The 23,464-nt window shown below is 39.4% G+C and overlaps 1 protein-coding gene across 1 annotated transcript in view, besides 2 other annotated features; it reads left to right on the top strand.

The window, feature by feature from the left end:
* Positions 92-321: an enhancer, noted in NCBI's record as "active region_17543". NCBI's record gives its function as "activates an Ori minimal core promoter by ATAC-STARR-seq in GM12878 lymphoblastoid cells {active_cell/tissue: GM12878}" and the evidence as "EXISTENCE:reporter gene assay evidence [ECO:0000049][PMID:35858748]".
* The window catches only part of SLX4IP (SLX4 interacting protein), a 192,726-nt gene continuing 169,639 nt past the window's right edge, over positions 378-23,464 (top strand). The window contains exons 1-2 of the mRNA NM_001009608.3: positions 378-526; positions 23,249-23,304. Coding sequence (NP_001009608.1) covers positions 23,278-23,304 — 27 coding nt within the window. The 5' untranslated portion in view covers positions 378-526; positions 23,249-23,277. The remainder of the gene's footprint in view (positions 527-23,248; positions 23,305-23,464) is intronic.
* Positions 482-531: an enhancer, noted in NCBI's record as "active region_17544". NCBI's record gives its function as "activates an Ori minimal core promoter by ATAC-STARR-seq in GM12878 lymphoblastoid cells {active_cell/tissue: GM12878}" and the evidence as "EXISTENCE:reporter gene assay evidence [ECO:0000049][PMID:35858748]".

Consider the following 23,464-nt stretch of genomic DNA (forward strand, 5'->3'; position numbering starts at 1 on the left):
AGCTAGTCATTTTCCAATGTTAAGAAAACACACCACAGAAAAGCGTTTTTTTTTCTCTCGGTCAGTTCAACTGCCTAGCACCGTGAGTTACCATGATACGTTATTTGCTAATGAGAGTCATTGGGGTCCCAGCCTTTAAAAATAGCCTGCGTCCGGCGCCATTTTTGTTTTGGGCCCACTTTGAAAGCCGCGATATTCTGAACAGAGGCCATTTTTCTTTTGGGCAGATTCCACGGGCCATCGAAGTGTTTCGCTGCCATCTTAAATCCTGGCTGTGGCCTCAATCCTGCAGCGAAGCTGCCCAGATCATTTTGTGTTTGGGCGGCGGCTGAGTTCCCAAACGCGCGCGGAGACCCTGGGAAGGAGGAAGTAAGCGCGAAAGTGCTTCCCTTAAGCTTCTGAAGGTTGGCTGCAGTTCCGGCTACCTGTGTAGTCCGAGTTTCCACAGCCAGGTACTACTCCGCCAGTGACCCTGGACAGTAACAAAACATATAAAGCCCGAGCCCAAACCCCGCCACCATCATAGGTAAGCACATGGACCTCTGACAACCTCAGATGTTCCTTCAAGTGAACTGAACTGTTTGCCCATCTCCTCCCTCCTGGTTTTTGGCTTTGATTTTTTGAGACTTTTCCGAATCCTTCTCCCTGTACTTCCACCTTTCTTCATTGTTTTCAAAAAGCCAAAAAGTTGCTAAACATCAGGATGCCATGAGCATGGGCATTACGGTGGAGATATTATTCAGGAAAGTTAACTGTCTTTGCACAAAGGGAATGCAGTAGATGGGCCAGGTATTTGTATCAAATCATGGCTACCTGCATCCAGCAGTACAAATACCTCCCCCTTCCCAGACATTTTTGGAGATGTGAGGTAAATACAGATTGCGTTTGTATATACTTCCCATTCATTCATTTATTCATTGCATTTCTTGAGTACCTAATTTGTGCTAGGCCATAAGGATTCAGGAGTTAGCTAAAAAAAATCCATTAACTCATGGAGCCTACATTTTATCACCTTGACATCTACTAGGTTGAGACAAATAACAGTATTTTATGGTTCTTAGCACTGCTAGACTGTATAAACAAGTATTTGCTTTCTCCTTCCCCTGAACTATTTTTTTTTATTTTTAGTTTTTAATTTTTTTGGCCGGGTGTAGGAATTAATGGTATTGACACTTACTTCTTGGATCCTAGACATAACGATATTTGTAAGCCAGTTGGCTAGCGTTAAAACTAATATTCCAGTTACTTAGGGCCTTGTTGCTCCAAGTTCATTTCACCTACCACCAGCATCAGCATCCCTGGGAGCTTGTTAGAATTACACTTCATGACTCTCACCCCAGAGCTGCTGAATCAGAATCTTCCTCAAGAAGTGTACCTTAAAGTTCAAGGAACATTGATTCAGGGCATGGGCTAAAGATACAGCCCTTTCTTTCTTTCTTTTTTTTTTTAGATGGAGTCTCGCTCTGTTGCCCAGGTTGGAGTGCAGTGGCGCGATCTTGGCTCACTGCCATCTCCGCCCCCCGGGTTCAAGCAATTCTCCTGCCTCAGCGTTCCCAGTAGCTGGGATTACAGGCGCGCGCCACCACCCCCGGCTAATTTTTGTATTTTTAGTAGAGACAGGGTTCGCCATGTTGGCCGGGTTGTTCTCGAACTCCTGACCTCAGGTGATCCACCCGCCTTGGCCTCCAAAGTCCTGGGATCACAGGCCTGAGACATCACGCCCGGCCTGGCCCATTCTTTGTTCAACCCGTGCTTCTTAACTAGATTCACAGTGTATTATCAATTTATTGCATGTTCTAAATGCAATGGATATTTGACAGGTTTTTTTCTGTGCTTTTAGTTCATTGACTTGATGTTAGGGCGTCAATTTAGCTTTCCAAAAAGTTGAAAAGAGATTTTGTCATCCCAATATACTTATATGTAATTTCTGTTATAACATCTGAAATGTAGGGTTTTCTCTGTAAGTCTTAGCATCCAATTTACCACTGGTTTGCGTTTTTTTTTTAAAAGTTGTTTACTGTGCTTCTTGCTTTCTCATATCTTGTATGCATATTTGTACTTTTAATTTGTTAAAAGTTGAACTCAAAAGTTTGCATGTGGACAGCAGTTCAATACTGACTTGGAAAACCTTGGGCCTTGGTTTACCAAAGCTTTTTGTGGCACCTTGCTTTCTTCTGTCTTCCCATTTTATTTTACTTCTTTTATTTTTATTTTTTGAGACAGGGTATAACCCTGTTGCCCAGGCTGAAGTGCAGTGGTGGGATCATAGCTCACTGTAACCTCCAACTCTTGGGCTCAAGCGATCCTTCTGCCTTGGTCTGTCAAAGTGCAGGAAAGCAGGCATGAGCGACTGCACCCAGCTGCCTTCTGTCTTTCTTTAATGAGAAGACTAAATCAAGAGTTCTCAGCCTTGGCTGCACGTAACAATCACCTGGGAGCTTTAAAAACAGACTCCAGCCCTGTATCTGCAGAGATTGAGACCCTCTGGATGAAATTAAAGAGCCAGTAAGGAGTATGAGAAAACAGAAACAACTTTTACGTTTTATGTTGCTATGTTAGATTTTCTCTCCCTTATGGTGTTACTTAAAATAATCGGGATTTTGAAAACCATGAAAAGATCTGGATTAAGAATGTAAGGAACCAGCTTCCCAGTAACTGGTCAACTTGCCAATTATTTGCTCTGTGTCCTAAGAAAGTTGTCCAGCCTTTCTGCTTCTCCTCCCTCCATCTATTAATTGGGAAAAGAAAATAAAGCCACTGTTGTTTTTTATTTAGTTTCATGTGGTGTTGCCAATTGTAGTGAATGTTTATATTCTGTGAGTGTGAGAAAGAAAAGTATTTTACAAGTACAATATTCATTGCTTCTAGTATTAACATACCTCATATTGTGTGTGGCAGTAGAACATGATGGGTTAGGAAATTAACTCTAGAGCTAGACTCCCTGGGTTCAAATTCTAGCTCCTCTACTAATCAGCTTTGTGACCTTGATCAGATAACTTATCCCTTCACTACCTCAGTTTCCTCATCTGTAAGATAGGGTTGATGTGAACGTTAGATAAATTCATACAAGAAAAATGCTTGTCATAGTGCCCGGCACATAGTCACAGCCATGTAAATATTAATTAACTATTGTTAAATTTTATGATAATTAAATTTCTGGGCTTTAAGGTTTTGTTTATGCATGCAAATCACCAGGGGAAAGGTATTACAGTTCTGTGACTTTTCGGGATATGAACTTGTTTAGAAAAGAGGGTGATATAAACACAATATACCAGGCCTGGAAGAGGCCTTTTTTTTTTTTTCTGTAAGTACTTTTAAACAGCTTTATTGAGGTATAACTGTTATACAGTTAATGCACATATTAAAGTGTACAATTTGGTATGTTTATGCCAGTGAAACCATCACCTCATCAAGATAATGAAGGTATCCATCACCCCTAAAAGTTTCCTCTTGCCGCATTGTCATCCCTCCAGCCACTCCTCTTCCAGGAAACCTCTGATCTATCGCTGTAGATAAGTTTGCATTGCATTTCCTAGGTGTGTGTGTTTTTTTTTTTTTTTTTTTTTTTGAGATGAAGTCTCCCTCTGTCACCTGGACTAGAGAGCAATGGTGCGATCTTGGCTCACTGCAACCTCCGCCTCCTGAGTTCAAGCAATTCTCCTGCCTCAGCCTTCCAAGTAGCTGGGATTACAGGCTTCCTTCACCATGCCCAGCTAATTTTTCTTTGTATTTTTAGTAGAGATGGAGTTTCACCATGTTGATCAGGCTACCTGATCAAATGATCTGCCTACCTTGGCATCCCAAAGTGCTGGGATTACAGGAGTGAGCCACCATGCCCGGCCACATTTCCTAGGTTTTTATCTAACTGCAGTCTTGGAGTATGTGCTTTTTGGGGGGTACGGGTTAGTCTGGCTTCTTTCATCATCATCATAATCATTTTTTTTTTTTAATTTTTATTTTGTTTTAGAGAGGATCTTGCTGTGTTATACAGGCTGCTCTTGAATTCCTGGTCTCAAGCAATCCTGCCTCAGCCTCCCAAAGCACTGGTATTATAGGCATGAGCCACACACGCCTGGCCATCATAATTATTTTGAGAACCGTCTTTGTTGTTGGGAGTTTTGATAGTTTATTCCTTTTTAATTACTCAGCGGTATTCCATTGTGTAGATATATAATAATTTGTTTACATATTCACCAATTGATGGACATTTGGTTTGTTCTTATTTTTACAATCTCATTCTCACATTGCTTTGTTCTTCTCTAGCTTATTTTAATTAAAAACGTTTTTTTCTTTTTTCATTTTTTTGAGACTGGGTCCCACTCTCAGGCTGGAGTGCAGTGGTATGATCTCAGCTCGCTGCAGCCTCCACCTCCTGGGTTCAGGTGATTCTCGTGCCTCAGCCTCCCGAGTAGCTGGGACTACAGGTGCGCACCACTGTGCCTGGCTAATTTTTTGTATCTTTAGTAGAGTTGGGTTTTTACCATGTTACCCAGACCTGTCTCAAACTCCTGGACTCAGGCAGTCCTCCCACCTTGGCCTCTCAAAGTGCTGGGATTACAAGTGTGAGCCACGGGGGCTGGCCTAACAATTTTTTTAGAAGTTTAATTATTTGGTAATGAAGCCTTCTGTATACAGTGAAACCAAGAGGTGATAGTCATAAAGCATGTTTGTATTAAAACTTCACCTTTGCTGTTATGTAGTTTATGAATTAATGTTTTGTGAATGAAACATGGCTTTTTAAAAATGCAAAATGTGTGCATTGACTTTTAAGTGGATTGTTAGTTCTTGACATGTACATGTCTAATCACTTTAAGCTGTATTAAACCTCAAGTCTACTTTTTAGAGATTGAGGACAATAATTCATGCACATGAAGAAACCTATTTATTAGGTAGCAAAGTAGAGATCTATAAAGCCAACCCTATAATTTCATAAAACTCCCCTTTGTCAGGGAGATGGGGAGTACCACTTATATTTTGAGTTGATGTAAGTATATTTCTAAAGTCTTTTTGCTTCTATTATGTAAAAGCGGTTACTTGTGTTTATTTTAGTATTGACGTTTTGTGCTTGAATAAATCAGAGGTGGTTTAAAATTGGATTTGACTCATATTAATTATGGGATAATATATAGAATATGGCTATTACAATATCGTGGACATAGAAATTCATTTGTGTCACTTTTGATTTATCTTCTAGTTAGAAAAGATTGCATTTTTTTTTTATTTTTTGCATTTAAAAATTATTCCAGACCCAGTACGGTGGCTCACGCCTGTTATTCCAACACTTTGGGAGGCCGAGGCTGGCGGATCACTTGAGATCAGGAGTTTGAGACCAGCCTTGCCAACATGGTGAAACCCTGTCTCTACTAAAAATACAAAAATTAGCTGGGCATGGTGGTGCACACCTGTAATCCTAGCTACTTGGGAGGCTGAGGTGGGAGAGTTGCTTGAACCCACGAGGCAGAGGTTGCAGTGAGCCAAGATAGTGCAACTGCGCTTTAGCCTGGGTGACACAGTGAGACTCTGTCTCAAAAAAAACCTAGAAACTAAAAAATAAATAAATAAATATTATTTTTAATTTATGTAAAATAAAATTATTCTTGGGTATGTAGTTTTCAGAGTTTTAATCAGTGCATTGAGTGTTTTGTAACCACTATCGAAATCAGCACATGGAACAGTTCCATCAGCTCCTTCCTCCCCAACTTCCCTTCTGCCACCCCTTTGTAGTACTCCTTACCCCTTCACCTTTGGCAACCAGTGATCTGTTCTCCATCATAACAGTTTTTGCTTTGAAATGATTAGATTTTAAAACTATTTTATTAATGATTATCAGAACTTTTTTTTTCTATGTAAAGGTGACTGGAAAACATTAGTTATCAGAGTTCTTGGGTTACAAAGTGGATTGATCATGTGCTGTTTGCTTGTGCTCTTGTTGTTGGAATGATTCCGTTTAAGACACTGAGCATCCACTGTGTATCAGGCACTAGGCCCCATAATTACATATCTGATCTCATGTAATCCTTACAGGAGCCATGAAATAGAAACTGTTGTTATTATCCCATTTCAGAGGTAAGAAAACCAGAGACTTAAAGGAGTTGAATAGCCTGTCTCAGGTCATACGAAGAGTCAGAATTTGAAGGGATGTGTTTTACAAGAACCTAAGGACATGCATCAGGTGTGGGTGCCTATGTCTGTTTCTGACTAGGTATTAAATAAAAACTAGATTCAGGCCGGACATGGTGGGGTCACACCTGTAATCCCAGCACTTTGAGAGTCTGAGGCGAGTGGAGTGCTTGAGCTCAGGACTTAGAAAACAGCCTGGGCAATATGGCGAAACCTCATCTCTACAAAAAATACAAAAATTAGCTGGGCATGGTGGCTTACACCTGTAGTCCCAGCTACTCGGAAGGCTGAGGCAGGAGGATCACTTGAACCTGGGGAGGTTGAGGTTTCAGTGAGCCGTGATCACGCCACTGCACTGCAGCCCGGGCAACAGACCGAGACCCTGTCTCTAAACAACAACAACAACGAAAACCTACTAAATTTTGCCTATTAGTAAAGCATCCCATGCAGTGGCTGGTGGGGATTTTCTGTGGGCACAGCAGGAAGGGGAGGCTCAGATCATGGGTCAACTGACTAGGTTGAGAGTATAGAGTAACTAAAAGGTAGCACTGTTCCATGGAATTATTCTTGGTAGAGTATCAATGTTTGACTTACATTTAGTGACAAAGGATTTTTAAAAGTTCTAATTTTTTTGTTACTTGCATTATCCTCTTTCCAGTGTTGAATCTGACGTGTTTGTTTTTGTTTTTTTTTTTATAAGTAAACTTTGGCATTCAGAATTACCATCTGAATAATAGCAAAAACTAATTCTTTTTTACACTGAAGTTGCCTTTCAGCCTTTATCTGAGTGGTCACCAGTGAGGCCTTTGCTCATTTGTCATTTTTCCTTGGTCTTTTGTTAAGTTTGTGATTCATTCCTTGATATTGGTTGTTTTGGTGGTAAGATTGGTGCATGTGTTGGGAGAGGACAACAGTGAAATGATTTCTCATTCTTGAATTATAGCTGTAACTTCAGAAGTTCTAGGGCTTTGCCTTTGCTGTTTTCTGTTTCTGTTCCCATAACTAATGAAAGTTTTTTAAGATGATAGAAAGAAGCATAATAATTTCCTAGATAAAATTTGAAATCTGGAGATTAGAAACCTAAAGTTAATTTCTGGTCTATTTAATGAGAGCATTTGCTTGTGACACAGGCCAGCAACACTAGAAAGAAGACAAATGTGAATTTCAGAGTGCCTTAGATTTTCCCACAGAATAATCTAGAGGGTCATTGACTTTCTTTATTAGAGTTTATCTCTGCTTTGTATTTAAATGACAGGACAACCATGTGATATTGTTTAATCTACTTCCATTCCCTTCCCAAATTAATTTTTTAAAGCTCTTAGGATCTTTCTCACTCCACTAAAAACACACATGTAATCATATTTTTGGTAGGTCATACCCTATCAAAGTCTCCTCTTTGTTAAAGAATGCTTGTTTTCAGGCCTGAGAGAGTGGACTCAAGAATGCACAATAGAAGATGAGGCATCATTTGTAAGTTATAATATACTCTAACTTAGCATACTTATGTAAATTATATACTTTCAGATATTTGGAAAATTGATCTTTTTGGGTTGTCCTACACTTCTTAAAAACAGGCAACAAAATAAAAATGCCACTGAATTTAGACTTGAATTGCCAGCTCTGGTAGCAAAGGCTTTTTAACATTTATTCTGTAAACCTGGTCACTGAGCTTGTTGCATCCTGCTGAAAGCAACTTTGAGGGCCTAGGAAAATAATCATTGAAGATGCATTGTTGCTTTTTGTGTGCGTGTGTGCACACTTGCTTTTTAATGATCAGTAAAAAAAATTTAGAAAAGCCTCAGGATGTTCCTTGATTTAAAACTTAATTAAGATAGAAGCTAATAATATCTTTTCCATTTAAATGAATGTTAAAATGCCAGTATTTTAAAGACAAAGAAATTTATGCACCAAAAACATCATCTTTGTGGTATAAACTTCAACCACACCTCTAATCTGTTGCCCATTATTTTCAATATGAAACACTAGGATCTTCTGGGTATGTGTTTATATGAATTACAACTCTCAGCTTTGGCTGTATGATTATATATAACTGAAGTATTATTTATTTGGTGAAATAGGTCCAGAGTGCTTGACCTCTTTTTTGGAAGGCTTACTGTGGAATTTGGAATTTAGGGACAGTAAAGATACGTTGGATAAATAGGTATAAATCTAAAAAAAAACAAAAACAAAAACAAAAAACCACATTCTGATTTAGTAACATCAATGGACCCAAGTCAGCAAACTTTTAATGCATAACAGTGCCACACCCCAAATATTAAAGAGGAGATGAATGGACCCTGTCCCTGGGAATCTTATAGTCAGGGAGAGGACCAGAGTTAGTTATAATTCAGTGGGCTAAGCGTGAGAGTAGAGGTGGTTCAGGTGTGTCCCAGAGAAGGAGCAATTCACTTGGTTCATAGAAGGCTCCAAGAAACAGGTGGCATCTGAGTTGGGTCTCAGAGGATAACTCAACTCGCTTTAGGAGAGGACATTCCACAGTGCGGCATGCATGGGTGAAGGCAGGGAGAGCTGGAGCTGCATGTTCAAGGACATGTGCCAGGAGTTGGTTATGTGGTGGCATTACAGGTGTGAAGTTGCCTGTGCCATAAGATGGAGGTTTGGGCAGGGGCACTGATATTGTTCGGATTTGTGTTCCTGAGCAAATCTCATGTTGAATTGTAACCCCCAGTGTTGGAGGAGGGGCCTGGTTGAAGGTGATTGTTCATGGGGGCAGATTTCCCACTTGCTGTTCTCAGGATAGTGAGTTCTCTCAAGCTCTGGTTGTTTAAAAGTGTATAGTACCTCTCTCTTCTCTCTCTTCCTCCTGCTCCAGTCATGTAGGATGTGCCTGCCTCCTTTTGCCTTCCACCATGATTGTAAGTCTCCTGAGGCCTCCCCAGCCATGCTTCCTGTAGAGCCTGGAGAACTGCGAGCCAGTTAAACCACTTTTCTTTATAAATTACCCAGTCTCAGGTAGTTCTTTATAGCATTGCAAGAACAGACTAATACAAGCATTGACAAAAGGGCTTCTGATGCTGTGGGAAATCCCAGTGAAGAGTTTTGAATAGGGGACTTATGCTCAGATACCTCTAATGTTGGGTTTGGGGATGGGGAAGTACAAGGATAGAGATTAGAGGTACTTTAAGAGGCTGTAGTTGTAGGGGTCTGGAGCTGCTGGCATCACCATGTGTTTTAGTCTGCCTGTGCTGCCATAACAAAATACCTTAGACTGAGTAATTTATAAACAATAGGAATTTATTGCTCACAGTTCTGGAGAATGGGACGTTTAAGATCAAGGCACCAGCAGATTCACTGTCTGGTGAGGGGTTTCTTTCTTTCTTTTTTTTTGAGCTGGAGTCTCGCTCTGTCACCCAGGCTGGATTGCAGTGGCACAATCTCAGCTCACTGCAACCTCTGCCTCCCGGGTTCAAGTGATTCTCCTGCCTCAGCCTCCTGAGTAGCTGGGATTACAGGTGTGTGCCACCATGCTCAGCTAATTTTTGTATTTTTAGTAGAGGTGGGGTTTCACCATGTTGTTCACGCTGGTCTCGAACTCCTGACCTCGTGATCCGCCCGCCTCAGCCTCCCAAAGTGCTGGGATTACAGACATGAGCCACCGCGCCTGGCCTGGACTTGCTTTCTGCTTCGAAGATGATACCTTCTTGCTGTACCCTCACATAAGGTAGAGAGGCTGGGGAGCTTGTTTGAGCCTTTTTTAAAATAAGGGCACTGGTCCCATTCATGAGGATGGAGCCCTCATTATTTATCACTTTCCAAAGTCCCCACCGTTAATACTATTACACTGGGCATTAGGTTCCAACATATAAATTTGGGGGGATACCAACATGTAGACCATAGCACCATGTTGTGATTTTTCCTTCTCGTGGGAGGCGGATGGGCCCATCCATGACTGTCATCTGTTCCATCCCAGATAACAGGCTGTGTGCATGTAGTAAGGGAAGAGAACATGTGTTCCCCACAGATTCTCCGTCAATTCTTCTGTGTTTAGATATCACAACTAATTGGGTTTTGTAAAAGAATAGTGAGGGACATGCCCCTCAGCTCCCAGAGGATATACAAGTCTCATGGTTGGATGTTGCACAGTGGTTGTCAAGGCCTAAATAACAGAAGGGATGAGAAGCTCTCCTTCCACCCCCTACTGCCTTGCCAGACCTGCAGAGACTTTGTTGGGAGGCAGGGGCACCTTACTCTGGGGACCACCTCTCCCCATTTTTCTGTTGGATTGCTTTTTCTTTTTTCTTTCTTTTTTTTTTTTTTTTTTTTTGAGATGGAGTTTTGCTCTTGTTGCCCAGGCTGGAGTGCAATGGCGCGATCTTGGCTCACTGCAAACTCCACCTCCTAGGTTCAAGCAATTCTCCTGCCTCAGCCTCCCTAGTAGCTGGGATTACAGGTGTGCACCAAGACGCCTGGCTAATTTTTTTAATTTTTAGTAGAGATGGAGTTTCACCATGTTGGCCATGCTGGTCTTGAACTCCTGACCTCATGATCCGCCCGCCTCAGCCTCCCAAAGTGCTGGGATTACAGATGTGAGCCACCATGCCCAGCCGATGAGATTGCCCTTTTTTTTTTTTTTTGAGATGGAGTCTCACTCTGTCACTCAGGCTGGAGTGCAGTGGCGTGATCTCGGCTCACTGCAACCTCCGCCTCCTGAGTTCAAGCGATTCTCCCGCCTCGGCCTCCTGAGTAGCTGGGACTACAGGCACATGCCACTAAGCCCGGCTAATTTTTTGTATTTTTAGTAGAAACAGGGTTTCACCATGTTAGCCAGGCTGGTCTTGAACTCCTGACCTCAGGTGATCTGCCCTACTTGGCCTCTGAAACTGCTGGGATTACAGCCATGAGCCACTGTGCCTGGCTGAGATTGCTTTTTTTTTTTTTTTTTTTTTTTTAACTCAGCCTATTTCCTTAAAATCCATCCAAGTTGCATGTATCAATAGTTTATTCCCTCTGCCTGAGTAATATGCCAGGGTATAAAGGTACTGCAGTTTGTTTAACCATTCACACGTTGAAGGATGTCTGGGTTGTTTCCAGTTTGTGGCTGTTAAGAATAAAGTTACTATGATGGCCGGATGCGGTGGCTCATACCTGTAATCCCAGCACTTTGGGAGGCTGAGGTGGGTGGATCACAAGGTCAGGAGTTCAAGCCCAGCCTGGCCATGATGGTGAAACCCCGTCTCTATTAAAAACATAAAAATTAGCCAGGTGTGGTGGCAGGCACCTGTAATCCCAGCTACTTGGGAGGCTGAGGCAAGAGAATCACTTGAACTCGGAGGGCAGAGGTTGCAGTGAGCCGAAATTGGGCCACTGCACTACAGCCTGGGCAACAGAGTGCGACTCTGTCTCAAAAAAAAAAAAAAAAAAAAAGTTACTATGAACATTTTTGAACAAGTTTTTACGTGAGCCTAAGTTCTCATTTCTCTGGGATAAATTCTGAGGAGAGCAATTTTTGGGTTGTTTAGATTGATAAGAAACTTCCAGTCACTTTTCCTGAGTGGCTGTACCACTTTTACAGTCCCACCAGTGATATATGAGAGATCTATTTTCTCTGCACCCTCACCAGCATTTGGTGTTATTGTTTTTTATTTGTCTTTCTGGTAGATATGTAGTGATATCTCATTGTGGTTTTATTTTACATTTTCCCATGGCTAATGATGTTGAATATCTTTTCATATGCTTTTTTACCATCTGTATATCCTTCTTGGTGAGATATCTGTTTGTCATTTGCCCATTTTCTGATTGGACTGTTGCTTTTTACTATTGAATTTTGAGACTATGTATTCTAGATAGAAATCCTTTGTTAGATATGGATTGCAAATATTTTTCTCCCAGTTTTCTTAGAAAAGTTTTAATTTCAATATGGCCAAAGCTGTCATTCTTTTTCTTTATGGTTTACATTTTCTCTGTCTAGTTAAAAAACTCCTTTATGATTTTGAGTTCATAAAAATATCCTCTGAAAGGTTTTAGTTTCACACCTTTGAGTTTTTAACCCATCTGTAATTGATTTTTGAGTCTTGTATGAGATCGAGTCCAATTTAATTTTTTCTCAAATAGATATGAGCAGTTGTTTGACCACAGTTTATTGAATGAGTCATCTCTTCATTTCACACTAATTTCACAGTGCTGCTCCCAGCATGCATCAGTTTCATAAATGCATGCATTGGTTTCTGGTGTGTGGAGTCTGCCCCCTCTGCCTGTTTGTCTGCCCGTTTGCCAGTACGTTAGTTTTTTTACCTTGCATTGTAGCAGTTTTGCAAGCCCCATCTTTTGTTTTTTTCTTCCTTTTCTAGAAGTGTCTTGATCTTTTTTAGTCTTTCTCAGTTTCCCTGTTCAAGTTTGTGTTTGGAGTTGCATTAAATTAGTAGATCAGTCAGAGGATGTCTCGTATATATTTTTTTCATTTTATTCCTAGATACTTTTTATTTGTGGGATGCTAGTTTAAATGATATTTTAAGTTCTACATTTTCTACTTGTTGCAAAGAAGTTGTTTCTACTGGTTCATCATTAAGCATTTTGTTACATTTTTGTAGATGCTTTTTTTAGATTAAGAAATTCCTTTGTATTCATAGATTTCTAATGTTACCTTTTTATTTTTTTCTGCTTCTACTGAAATGTTTATGTGCCTTTTTTCTTCTTTAGTTTTTGTTTTTGTGTTTTGAGACAGGGTCTCTGTCACCCAGGCTGGAGTGCAGTGGCATAAACATGGCTCACTGCAGCCTTGAACTCCTGGGCTCAAGTGATCCTCCTGCCTCAGTTTCCCATGTAGCTGGGACCACAGGTGGGGGCTCCACACCTGGCTGATTTTTTTTTTTTTTTTTTTTTAGAGATAGGGTCTCACTTTGTTGCCTAGGCTGGTCTCGAACTCCTGGGCTCAAGCAGTCCTCCTGCCTCAGCCTCCCAAAGTCCTGAGATTACAGGTGTGAGCCACTGAACCCGGCCTCTACTTCAGTTTTTTAATGTGATGATTTCTGTAGTGTTTAGCTAACCTTGCACTCCTCAGATACCTCACTTGATTCTGATGTTTGTTTGTTTTTAAGTAGGTTTGCTAGATTAAAATTGCTTTTAGATTATTGCTTCTATGTTCACTCATAGAATTGACTGATTTTTCATTCTTTTACTGCCTTTGTCTGGTTTTGCTATCAGTACTCCATAAAATGAGCGGTGGGATGATTTCCTTCTTACTCTTTTCTCTGGAAGAATTTGTATACTGGCATTATTTGAACCCTGAACTACTGTTGATTTTTGGATTCTAGAGGTTTAGAAATGGAATAGACTATAGTGGTCAACCTTTCCAACTCCACTGTTTTTTTGAGGTGGGAAGAATTAAATGCTGAGGCTTAAATCCAAGGGACACTTTGCACTGTACCATGACCCGGTGATTTCATCATTATAGAAACCCTAATCCTGAAGTAGAGGTAATAGTCATTTTATTATGTAAAACAGATGGCTCAAAGCCTTCGCACACTGAAGTCCATGCAAATCCATGTAAGAGTGGCTTGGAAAACATCACATTAGCCTTAGTCTCTTAGTTTTCTAGGCCCATCTGATTAAGATTAAGAATGGAGTTAAGAAAGGGACTCAGGCACTCTGACAGCTCTGGGATCACCTGCGAGAGCAGGCAGACGACCCCGCTGGCCTACTGTTGAGCAGCTTTGAGTAGGAGCTAGCAGCTCACAGGGGCAGTGATGTGTTTATTGCTCAGTGTGATGATAACTTTAATTGGGAATATCAGATAAATATTCAATATATGGTATTTTTATGAACATTAATAAAGATTCAGTATATTTTTGGAAAATTTCCCTAAAAACAGAAAAAAAATAAAAAGGTTATATGCATAAGTGACTCAGCACCAATTATCTGGAACATTTTTTTCACCCAGCAGGCTTTTCTTGAGTACCCTCTAGTGTTAGGCATTGCTCTGAGGGCTGCTCACATATGAGTGTGTACTCCTTCCACCATGGATAAGTATGATTTTACCATATTTGGAACTTAGCAGATTGGCTCAGTTCATTTCAGATTTCAATTCACCGTTTAATTCATCCCCAGCACATGCCTAGTGCTGTCATAAACCAAAGAAAAGATGGTTTCTTTATCTGAAATGACTTTAGCAAATATGCAAGCTCAAGGTCTATGCAACCGACTTTCCAGATGTGTTATGGGCTTTATCTTGGTAGAATTCATTTATTTATATTTTGTCTATGAAGGGTGCCATATTATGTAGCATAGTGATAAATTAATTCAAACTTCATTTTCATTAACTATAGAGTTTCTTTCTTTCTTTGATTAACAGGAGAGGACCACTACACATGTAGCTTCATTTGAGGTCATACTCTGTGTTGGGAACTTGGACCTTGGCGTGAGGCAGAGGGAAGAAGGTCACACCTACCCTGACAGCCCAATTAGTCACTGACTTTGGCAATTCTACAGGTGACAGATGGTGCTAGTTTGCCCTCAGTGGACCTGACAAGACTCTATCTAGCGCTTGGTTAGGCCATCAGCTGTGAGATGCTGGCCTGGTCCCATAAGTTCTCATTAGGGGAATAGATGGCAAGGCTGGGAGTAGAGGGTCTGTAAGATCTATTTTAGCCCTAAAATTGTGACTTTTTGAATTTCCAAACATTGTGGAAACAAGTGAAAAAGTTACATAACTTGAGGCAGAGTGTGTTATGATATTAAAAACAGACTAAAATATTCAGAATATAGATTTCATTCTTCCCAGGTAGCCTATTTTACATTGTCAGACCATATTATTTTATATAAAAAATACATGCTTTTCAGTTCCAGATCCCTAGAGATCATTTTTTTGATATTGGACTTTGATGATACTCTTTGAAAAATTCAGAATCTACATCGTAAATGTAGCTGTTCTTGTTTTATTGATAAAAGTAAAAAAAAAAACCCACAAAAACAAAACCTTATTGTGAGTTGAAAATGTGAAAATGTAACTGTATTAGTAATATTAGCCATCACAGTAACCTCACTGTAATATGGCTCATTTATGATCTATCCAAGGCAGATATGATGTGAAAGCCTTGCCTTGGCCTTCCACGTGGTCTATCTGTCCTTCAGGAAAAAAAGTACATATGGGAAAACTGGTGTGTAATTAAAAAATAATTGGATCACACATTTTTTTTACCTGTGATGGTTACTTATTGACAAAACTGTCCCCTTTTTCCTGGTTCCATGTCTAGCTGATGCACTTGAGTATTCTTTTTAAGTACCCTCATTTAGGGACTTCCTTAATTCTTAGCAAGATTATTCAAGCCTGATTTAATGTATTTAAGGTGACTGATTTTATGTTTATTAGACAAAAATAATGTAATTTTAAAAAATTCATATAAAGTTTTCAGGACAACCTTTATATACATTGTTTTTAAACATGTGCCTGATTTCCCAGGAACTTACTTTTTTTCCACTTACACTTGCGTCTAAATGGGCTTGCTAAGATAAACTTCATTAAATATTTTTCTAAGTCATGTGCATTATGTTATTTAGAGAATGGAAATGAATACTTAACATGACTTAGGGTTTGGATAAAGATATTTTTGTCCATTTAAAAAATTAGGATCTCATCACATAGGAGGCAAACATTAAAACATTAAAAATTAAAACCAAAGGGTACCAATTTCTAAAAAATCACTGTTGACTGAGTAATAATAATTATCAATACTCATCGAAGGCCTAGTGGTTTTTTTGTTTGTTTTGAGACGGAGTCTCGCTCTGTCGCCCAGGCTGGAGGACAATGGTGCGATCTCGGCTCACTGCAAGCTCCGCCTCCCGGGTTCACGCCATTCTCCTGCCTCAGCCTCCTGAGTAGCTGGGACTACAGGCGCCCGCCACTACGCCCGGGTAATTTTTTTGGGTTTTTAGTAGAGACGGGGTTTCACCGTGTTAGCCAGGATGGTCTCGATCTCCTGACCTCTTGATCCGCCTGCCTCGGCCTCCCAAAGTGCTGGGATTACAGGCGTGAGCCACCGTGCCCGGCAGGCCTAGTGTTTTTGTATGTCATTTTATTTAGTCCTTTCAATAATTTTGAGTTAGGTATTATTACTCTTATTTTAGAAATAAAATATTCAGGATACAGAAATAAGTGCCCTTCTTATTTATTTTTTTGAGACAGAGTATCACTCTGTCACCCAGGCTGGAGTGCAGTAGCGTAATCTCGGCTCACTGCAATTTGCGCCTGCCAGGTTCAGGCGATTCTCCTGCCTCAGCCTTGCGAGTAGCTGGGATTACAGGCGCCCACCACCATGCCTGCCTAACTTTTGTATTTTTAGTAGAGATGGGGTTTCACCATGTTGGCCAGGCTGGTCTCGAACTTTGACCCCAAGTGATCCACGTGCGTTGGCCTCCCAAAGTGTTGGGATTACAGGTGTGAACCACCGCGCCTGGCCGTGTTTTTCTTGTTTAAAAAAAGGCTCTCAAACTGCGCTGTCCATAATGGTGGCTACCTACAAGTGTCTATTGAGCACCTGACACATGACCAGTCCAAATTGAGATGTCCTAGAAATATAACCAATTTCAAAGTCTTGGTTAAAACAACAAGCATGTAAACATTTTTATATAGCTCACATGTTGAAATGCTAACATGTTGGCTATATCAGGTTAAATAAAATAGATTGGCCAGGCACGGTGACTCATGACTGTAATCCCAGCACTTTGGGAGGCCGAGGCGGGTGAATCATGAGGTCAGGAGTTCGAGAACAGCTTGGCCAATATGGTGAAACCCCGTCTCTACTAAAAATACAAAAAATTAGTTGGGCATAGTGACGGGCGCCTGTAATCCCAGCTACTTGGGAGGCTGAGGCAGGGGAATCGCTTGAATCCAGGAGGTGGAAGTTGCAGTGAGCCAAGATCGTGCCACTACACTCCAGCCCTGGTGACAGAGTGAGACACCGTCTCAAAAACATAAAATAAAATAAAATAGATTATTCAAATTAACTTTATCTGTTTCTGTTTACTTTTTTAAAAATGCAACTACTAGAAAACTTAAAATTACATTTGTGGCTTGCATTATATTTCTTTTGGAAGACCTGTTCTAAAAATTTCAACGGGCAAATAGTTCCATGCTCAAGGCTTGTGAATTATGGTGTCCTCCTCAACCCCTTTCCTCCATCCTTGTGAGCTCTCTTCATCTTGTTCTTCAGTTTGGGGCAGAGTTTAGTACTTAAGAATTGGATCCAGGCAGGGCGTGGTGGCTCCCACGTATAATCCCAGCACTTTGGGAGGCTGAGGCTGGTGGATTGCTTGAGCTCAGGAGATGAAGACCAGCGTGGGCAAGATGGTGAAGCTCCATCTCTATAAAAAATATAAAAATAGGCTGGGCGCAGTGGCTCATGCCTGTAATCCCAGCACTTTGGGAGGCCGAGGTGGGCGGATCACCTGAGGTCAGGAATTCAAGACCAGCCTGACCGATATGATGAAACTCTGTCTCTACTAAAAATACATAAATTAGCTGGGCGTGGTGGCATGCACCTGTAATCCCGGCTACTCGGGAAGCTGAGACAGGAGAATCGCTTGAACCCAGGAGACAGAGGTTGCAGTGAGCTGAGATCACGCTATTGCACTCCAGCCTGGGCAACAAGAGCGAAACTGTCTCAAAAAAAAAAAAAAAAATATATATATATATATGTAAATTAGCTGGGCTTGGTGGCATGAACCTATAATCTGAGCTACTTAGGAGGCTGAGGCAGGAGGATCGCTTCAGTCCAGGAAGTGGAGGTTGCTGTGAGCCTAGATTGAGCCACTGCACTTTAGTCTGGTTGACAAAGTGAGACTCTGTCTCAGAAAATAAATAAATAAATAAATAACGTAAAAAATTTTATTAAAAAAAAAGAATTGGATCCCGATCACTAAATTACCGTCTGTATTTTTGCTTTACTATAGCTATTGTGGTTGTTATTGTTTTTACTGGTCTGCTTTGTTTCTGAAACATTCCATCACCATTAGAGATCTTTTGCTCTGTTTAACCTCTATGCCCTCACCATATTTATACACACACATTCCCTATTTTTCTAATATCATCGTAAGCATAATATTGTTTAGGTCAGGATTCAATGTTTGCTATTATAACTATAAATGCTAGTCATAACTGAACTGTGTATTAAGCACTCTTTTTATTTACTGCAGTTTTTGTTTATCATGGAATCAGTCATTGCCTTGTTATTCTTCTGCTGTTTAGCTTTCCATGTACCTGTCCTAATTCAATCTCATATTCTCCACGAGTTGTCTAAAACTCATCCGTGTGTGTGTGTGTGTGTGTGTGTGTAGATCTTCCTGGACGTGCCTCTCCCCTGCGGCCTGCTCTGGTCTGCACCTGCGCTTCTCCTGTGGTCTACCCACAGCTCTCATGGAGGCCTCCTTTCACCAGATCCTCAGCTTTGCTCTGCCTTTCTCCTGTCTCACCCTTCCTGTTTCCTCTTTCTTGCTTAGTTTCCTCATTTTGGTGAAGCACATCTTTAGTAGCTTCCTGAGAAAAAATACATGAAACAGTTTTATAAGAGCTTGCATAAGAATTTTTTTTCTTCCCTGAAGTTTAAATCCAGTTTGAGGTTGGAAACAATTTTCTTCAGAATTTTGAAGATATTTCTCCATTTCTTTGGGCGGTTTGGAACCAATTCTGACTCCTGATCCTTTGTGTTCTCCACCTCCTACTACCCCCCAACGCACTTAAAAAAAATTTTTTTTTTATCCCCAATGCCTAAAATTTCACTGGGATAGATGCTGTAATATGGGTCAGTCTCCATACTAATTTTCATGTGTTTGACCTCCTATATTGGTCTTTTAATTTTAATTTATTGTCTCTTTTCATTTTTTTAATTTTTGCTGAAGTTTCTGAGAGATTTCATCAGCTTTATCTTTCAACCATTCTATTAAGTTTTTAAAATTCAACTATCATTGTTTTAGTTTGTTGTCTTCTGATAGTTCTCTTTTTTTGTTGCTGTCATTTTTTGCTTTATGGCTGTAGTATCTGCAATCTCCCTAATGATAATTCTTAAAAAATGTTTTCTTCTCCCTCCATACTTTGTTTCAGCCAAATAGGTTTTTTTCTGTATTTGGTTTTCTTTCATAATTTAATCTTGCCTTAGGTGGTAGGTGATTCCTGCTTGTTTACTTGTATTTGAGAGTGGGACATTAAAAGATGACTAGAATCTCTGCATATGGGTGTGGGGCTTATGGATGTGGACTTCACTTAAGAGCCATCTGTTTAGGCTGTTCCCCAAGGAACCCCTATGTCAGTATTTTTAGACAGTGTCTTTTAGGTTAGTCCAATTCTCTGAATAGGGAGGTTTCAGTCTGCAGTCTGGAGAGTATGGGCAGGGTAGAGAGGCATGCAGGCAGAGGAAGGTCTCTGTATTTGTATTCCCTAATGTCTCTTTGTTCAGAAGACTCCACCTTCTACTGTGCCTGGTGTTTTCCAGACTAGAGATCCTCTGTCTTACCCTCTTCAGAAAATACTCCAGGTTTCTGCCAGGGTGAGAAAAAGCAGTTGCCTGGCTGAGCACAGTAAAGGGGAATATTTACCTTTTTATTGCCAAATAATATTCTATTGTATGATATATCACATTTTATTTATCTGTTCATTAGTTGATGGACATTTGGGTTGTTTCCATTTTTTGACTATTATTAGTAGTGCTTCTGTGAGCATTCCTGTATAATTTTTTTGTATGGAGTTATTATTTTTTTTCTTGGATATATCCTTAGGAATGGAAATGCTGGGTCATGTGGCAACTCTTTAAATTTTGAAATGCTATCAAACTATTGTGCAAAGTGGCTACATTTTACATGCCTACCATCAATGTATGAGAGTTCCAGTTTATTCACATCCTTGCCAACATCTGTTATTATTTGTCATTTTGATTTTAGCTATTTATCTTAATGGGTATAAAGTAATATCTCATTGTGGTTTTGATTTGCATTTGATGGCTAATGATGTTAAGCATCTTTTCATGTGCTTATTGGTCATTTGTATATCTTCTTTGAAGGAATGTCTATTCAAATTCTTTGCTTATTTTTAAATTATTTGTCCTCTTATTGAGTTGAGTTCTTTATATATTCTGGACATGAGTCCTTCATCAGATGTATGATTTGCAGATTTTTTTTCTATTCTGTGTATTATCTTTTTACTTTCTTGGTTTGAAGTATAAAAGTTTTTAATTTTGATAAAATCTAATTTACTAATTGTGTTTGTCACTTCTGTTTTGGTATCATATCTAAGAAACTGTTGCCTAATGAAAGGTCACAAAAATTTATGCCTTTGTTTTTTCCTAAGATTTTTATAGTTTTAGCTCTTATATTTAGGTCTATGATCCATTTTGATTTAACTTTTTGTATATAGTGTGATGTAGCAGTCTAACTTTATTATTTGGCATATGGATACTCAGTTGTTCTAGAACCATTTGTTGAAAAAACTATTTTCCCATCAAGTTATCTTAGTACCCTTGTTGAAAATCAATTGAACATAAATTTAAGGATCTATTTCTATCAATTTTATTCCAATTGACCTGTATGTCTTTTATTTATTTATTTATTTATTTATTTATTTATTTATTTATTTATTTTGAGACAGAGTCTCACTCTGTCCCCCAGGCTAGAGTGCAGTGGCGCAATCTTGCCACACTGCAACCTCTGCCTCCTGGTTTCAAATGATTCTCGTGCTTCAGCCTTCCCAGTAGTTGGGATTACAGGTGCACACCACCACACCCAGCTAATTTTTTGTATTTTTAGTAGAGACAGGGTTTCGCCATGTTGGCCAGGGTTGTCTCGAACTCCTGGCCTCAAGTGATTTGCTAGCCTCGGCCTCCCAAAGTGCTGGGATTACAGGTGTGAGCCACCGTGCCTGGCCTATATGTCTGTTCTTATGCTAGTATAGGTTGAGCATCCCTAATATGAAAATCCAAAATACGAAATCCTCCAAAGTCTGAAACTTTCTGAATGCCAACATAATGCCACAAGTACAAAATTCCACACCTGACTTCACATGACAATCTGTAGTCAAAATGAAGTCAAAACTTTGTTTCATGCACAAAATCATAAAAATATGTAAAATTCAGGCTATCTGTATAAGGTATATATGAAACATAAGTGAATTTTGTGTTTAGATTTGGATCTCATCCCCAGGATATCTCATCATGTATGTGCAAATATTCCAAAATCTGAAAAAATCCTACATCTGAAGCACTTCTGGTCCTAAGCATTTCTGATAAGGGATACTCAGCCTGTACCATACTGTTTTGATTGTTGTGATGTTGTAGTAAGCTTTTATTTATTTATTTATTTTATTTGATAGTTTTTCAGACGGAGTCTTGCTCTGTCACCCAGGGTGGAGTGCAGTGGCATGATTTTGGCTCACTGCAACCTCTGCCTCTCAGGTTCAAGCGATTCTCCTGCCTCAGCCTCCTGAGTAGCTGGGATTACAGGTGCATGCCACCATGCCCAGCTAATTTTTGTATTTTTAATAGAGACGGGGTTTCACCATGTTGGCCAGGCTGGTCTCGAACTCCTGACCTCGTGATCTACCCGCCTCGGCCTCCCAAAGTGCTGAGATTAACAGGCGTGAGCCACTGCGTCCAGCTGTAATAAGCTTTTAAATTGAGAAGGCTGAGTTCTCCAATTTGATTCTTCTTTTTCAGTATTGTTTTTGTTACTCCAGATCTCTTGCATTTTCATATACGTTTTAGGATAAACTTGTTAATTTCTATAAAGAAGTCAGCTGGGATTTTGATAGGGATTATGTTGAATCTGAGAACAATTTGGGAATATTGCTATATTAACCGCTTTAAGTCTTACAATCCATGAACACGGGTTATCTTTCCACTTAAGTCTTTAATTTCTTTCAATTATATTTTATGACTTTTGGTGTACAAATCTTGTACTTTTGCTATGCTTATTCCTAAGTATTCTTTTTCATGTTATTATGAATAGAATTTTTCTTTAAATTTTATTTTAGGACTATTCATTGTTGATATGTAGCAATACAGTAGATTTTAAAATATTTATCATATATCCTACAACCTTGCTGAACTTATTAATTCTAGTAGTTTTTTGATGATTTGTTAGGGTTTTCTATATATGAGAACATATTGTTTATGAATAGACAGTTTATTTCTTTCTTCCTGATCTGGATGCTTTTTATTTCTTTTTCTTGCCTAATTGCCTTAGTTAGAACCTTTAGTACAATGATGAAAAGAAGTGGCAAGAGCAGACGTTTCATGTAAAGACATGTCTCTCATCTTAAGGGAGAAAACATTTAGTCTTCATCATTAAGTATGATTTTAGCACTTGGTTTTTCCTAAATGTCTTTTATCAGGTTGAGATAGTTCCTTCTATTCCTATTGTGTTGGCTTTTTTTTGTTTTTAATTAAAAAAGCATTTTGGGTTTTTTTTTTTTGTATTATGATTATGTGCATTTTTTCTGTTATTCTATTAATAGAGTGTATTATATTGATTAATTTTCAGATCTTAAACTATCCTTGCATTCTTGGGCTACATCCAACTTGATCGTGGTGTATAATCTTTTTTACATGTTGCTATGTTTGATTTTCTAGTATTTTGTTGAGAATTTTTGTGTCTTCATAAGGGACATTGATGTGTGGTTTTCTTGTGATGTCTCTCTCTGGTATTGGTATCAGGATGATACTGGCTTCAGAATTATTTGAGAAATTTTTCTTATGCTTCTGTTTTTTTAAAGAGTTTATGAGGGATTGGTTTAAATTATTCTGTACACATTTGATAGAATGTAGCAGGGAAGCCATCTGAGCCTGTGCTTTTCTCTCTTTTTTTTTTTTCTTTCTGTAGAGATGAGGTCTTGCTGTGTTGCCTAGTTTGGTCTCGAACTCCTGAGCTCAAGTGAGTCTCCCACTTTGGCCTCCCAAAGTGCTGGGATTATAGGTGTGAGCCACCATGCCTGGCCAGGGCCTGTCCTTTTATTTGCAAGCAGTGCTTAAATTACTAATTTAATATAGTATTTTGGTTAAGGGCAATTATAAGTGAACATTCATCTCATAAATACCTATTGATATTTTACTATTCAGCCCATCTTTTTCCTGTATAATATCCAAATAAAAAGAAATTTTAATATACCTAATTGTAACTTTTTTTTTTCTTAAAGGTCTGTAGTTACTGTGGAATCAATAAGCCATGGCATCTAAGAAATTTGCTGTTAAAGTAAGTAATGTTTAATAGCTTTTTAAAAAGAGGCTAATCACTTTCTAATATAACTGAGCTCTGTGTTAATTGAAAATCGAGGTTCCTAACTTTCTGCTTTTTACACTTGGGACTCTGCAAAATTTTTTTTTTTCCTTCAACTTTTAAGTTCTGGGGCATG

This window comes from Homo sapiens, chromosome 20, assembly GCF_000001405.40.
Source record: "Homo sapiens chromosome 20, GRCh38.p14 Primary Assembly".
NCBI lineage: Eukaryota > Metazoa > Chordata > Mammalia > Primates > Hominidae > Homo > Homo sapiens.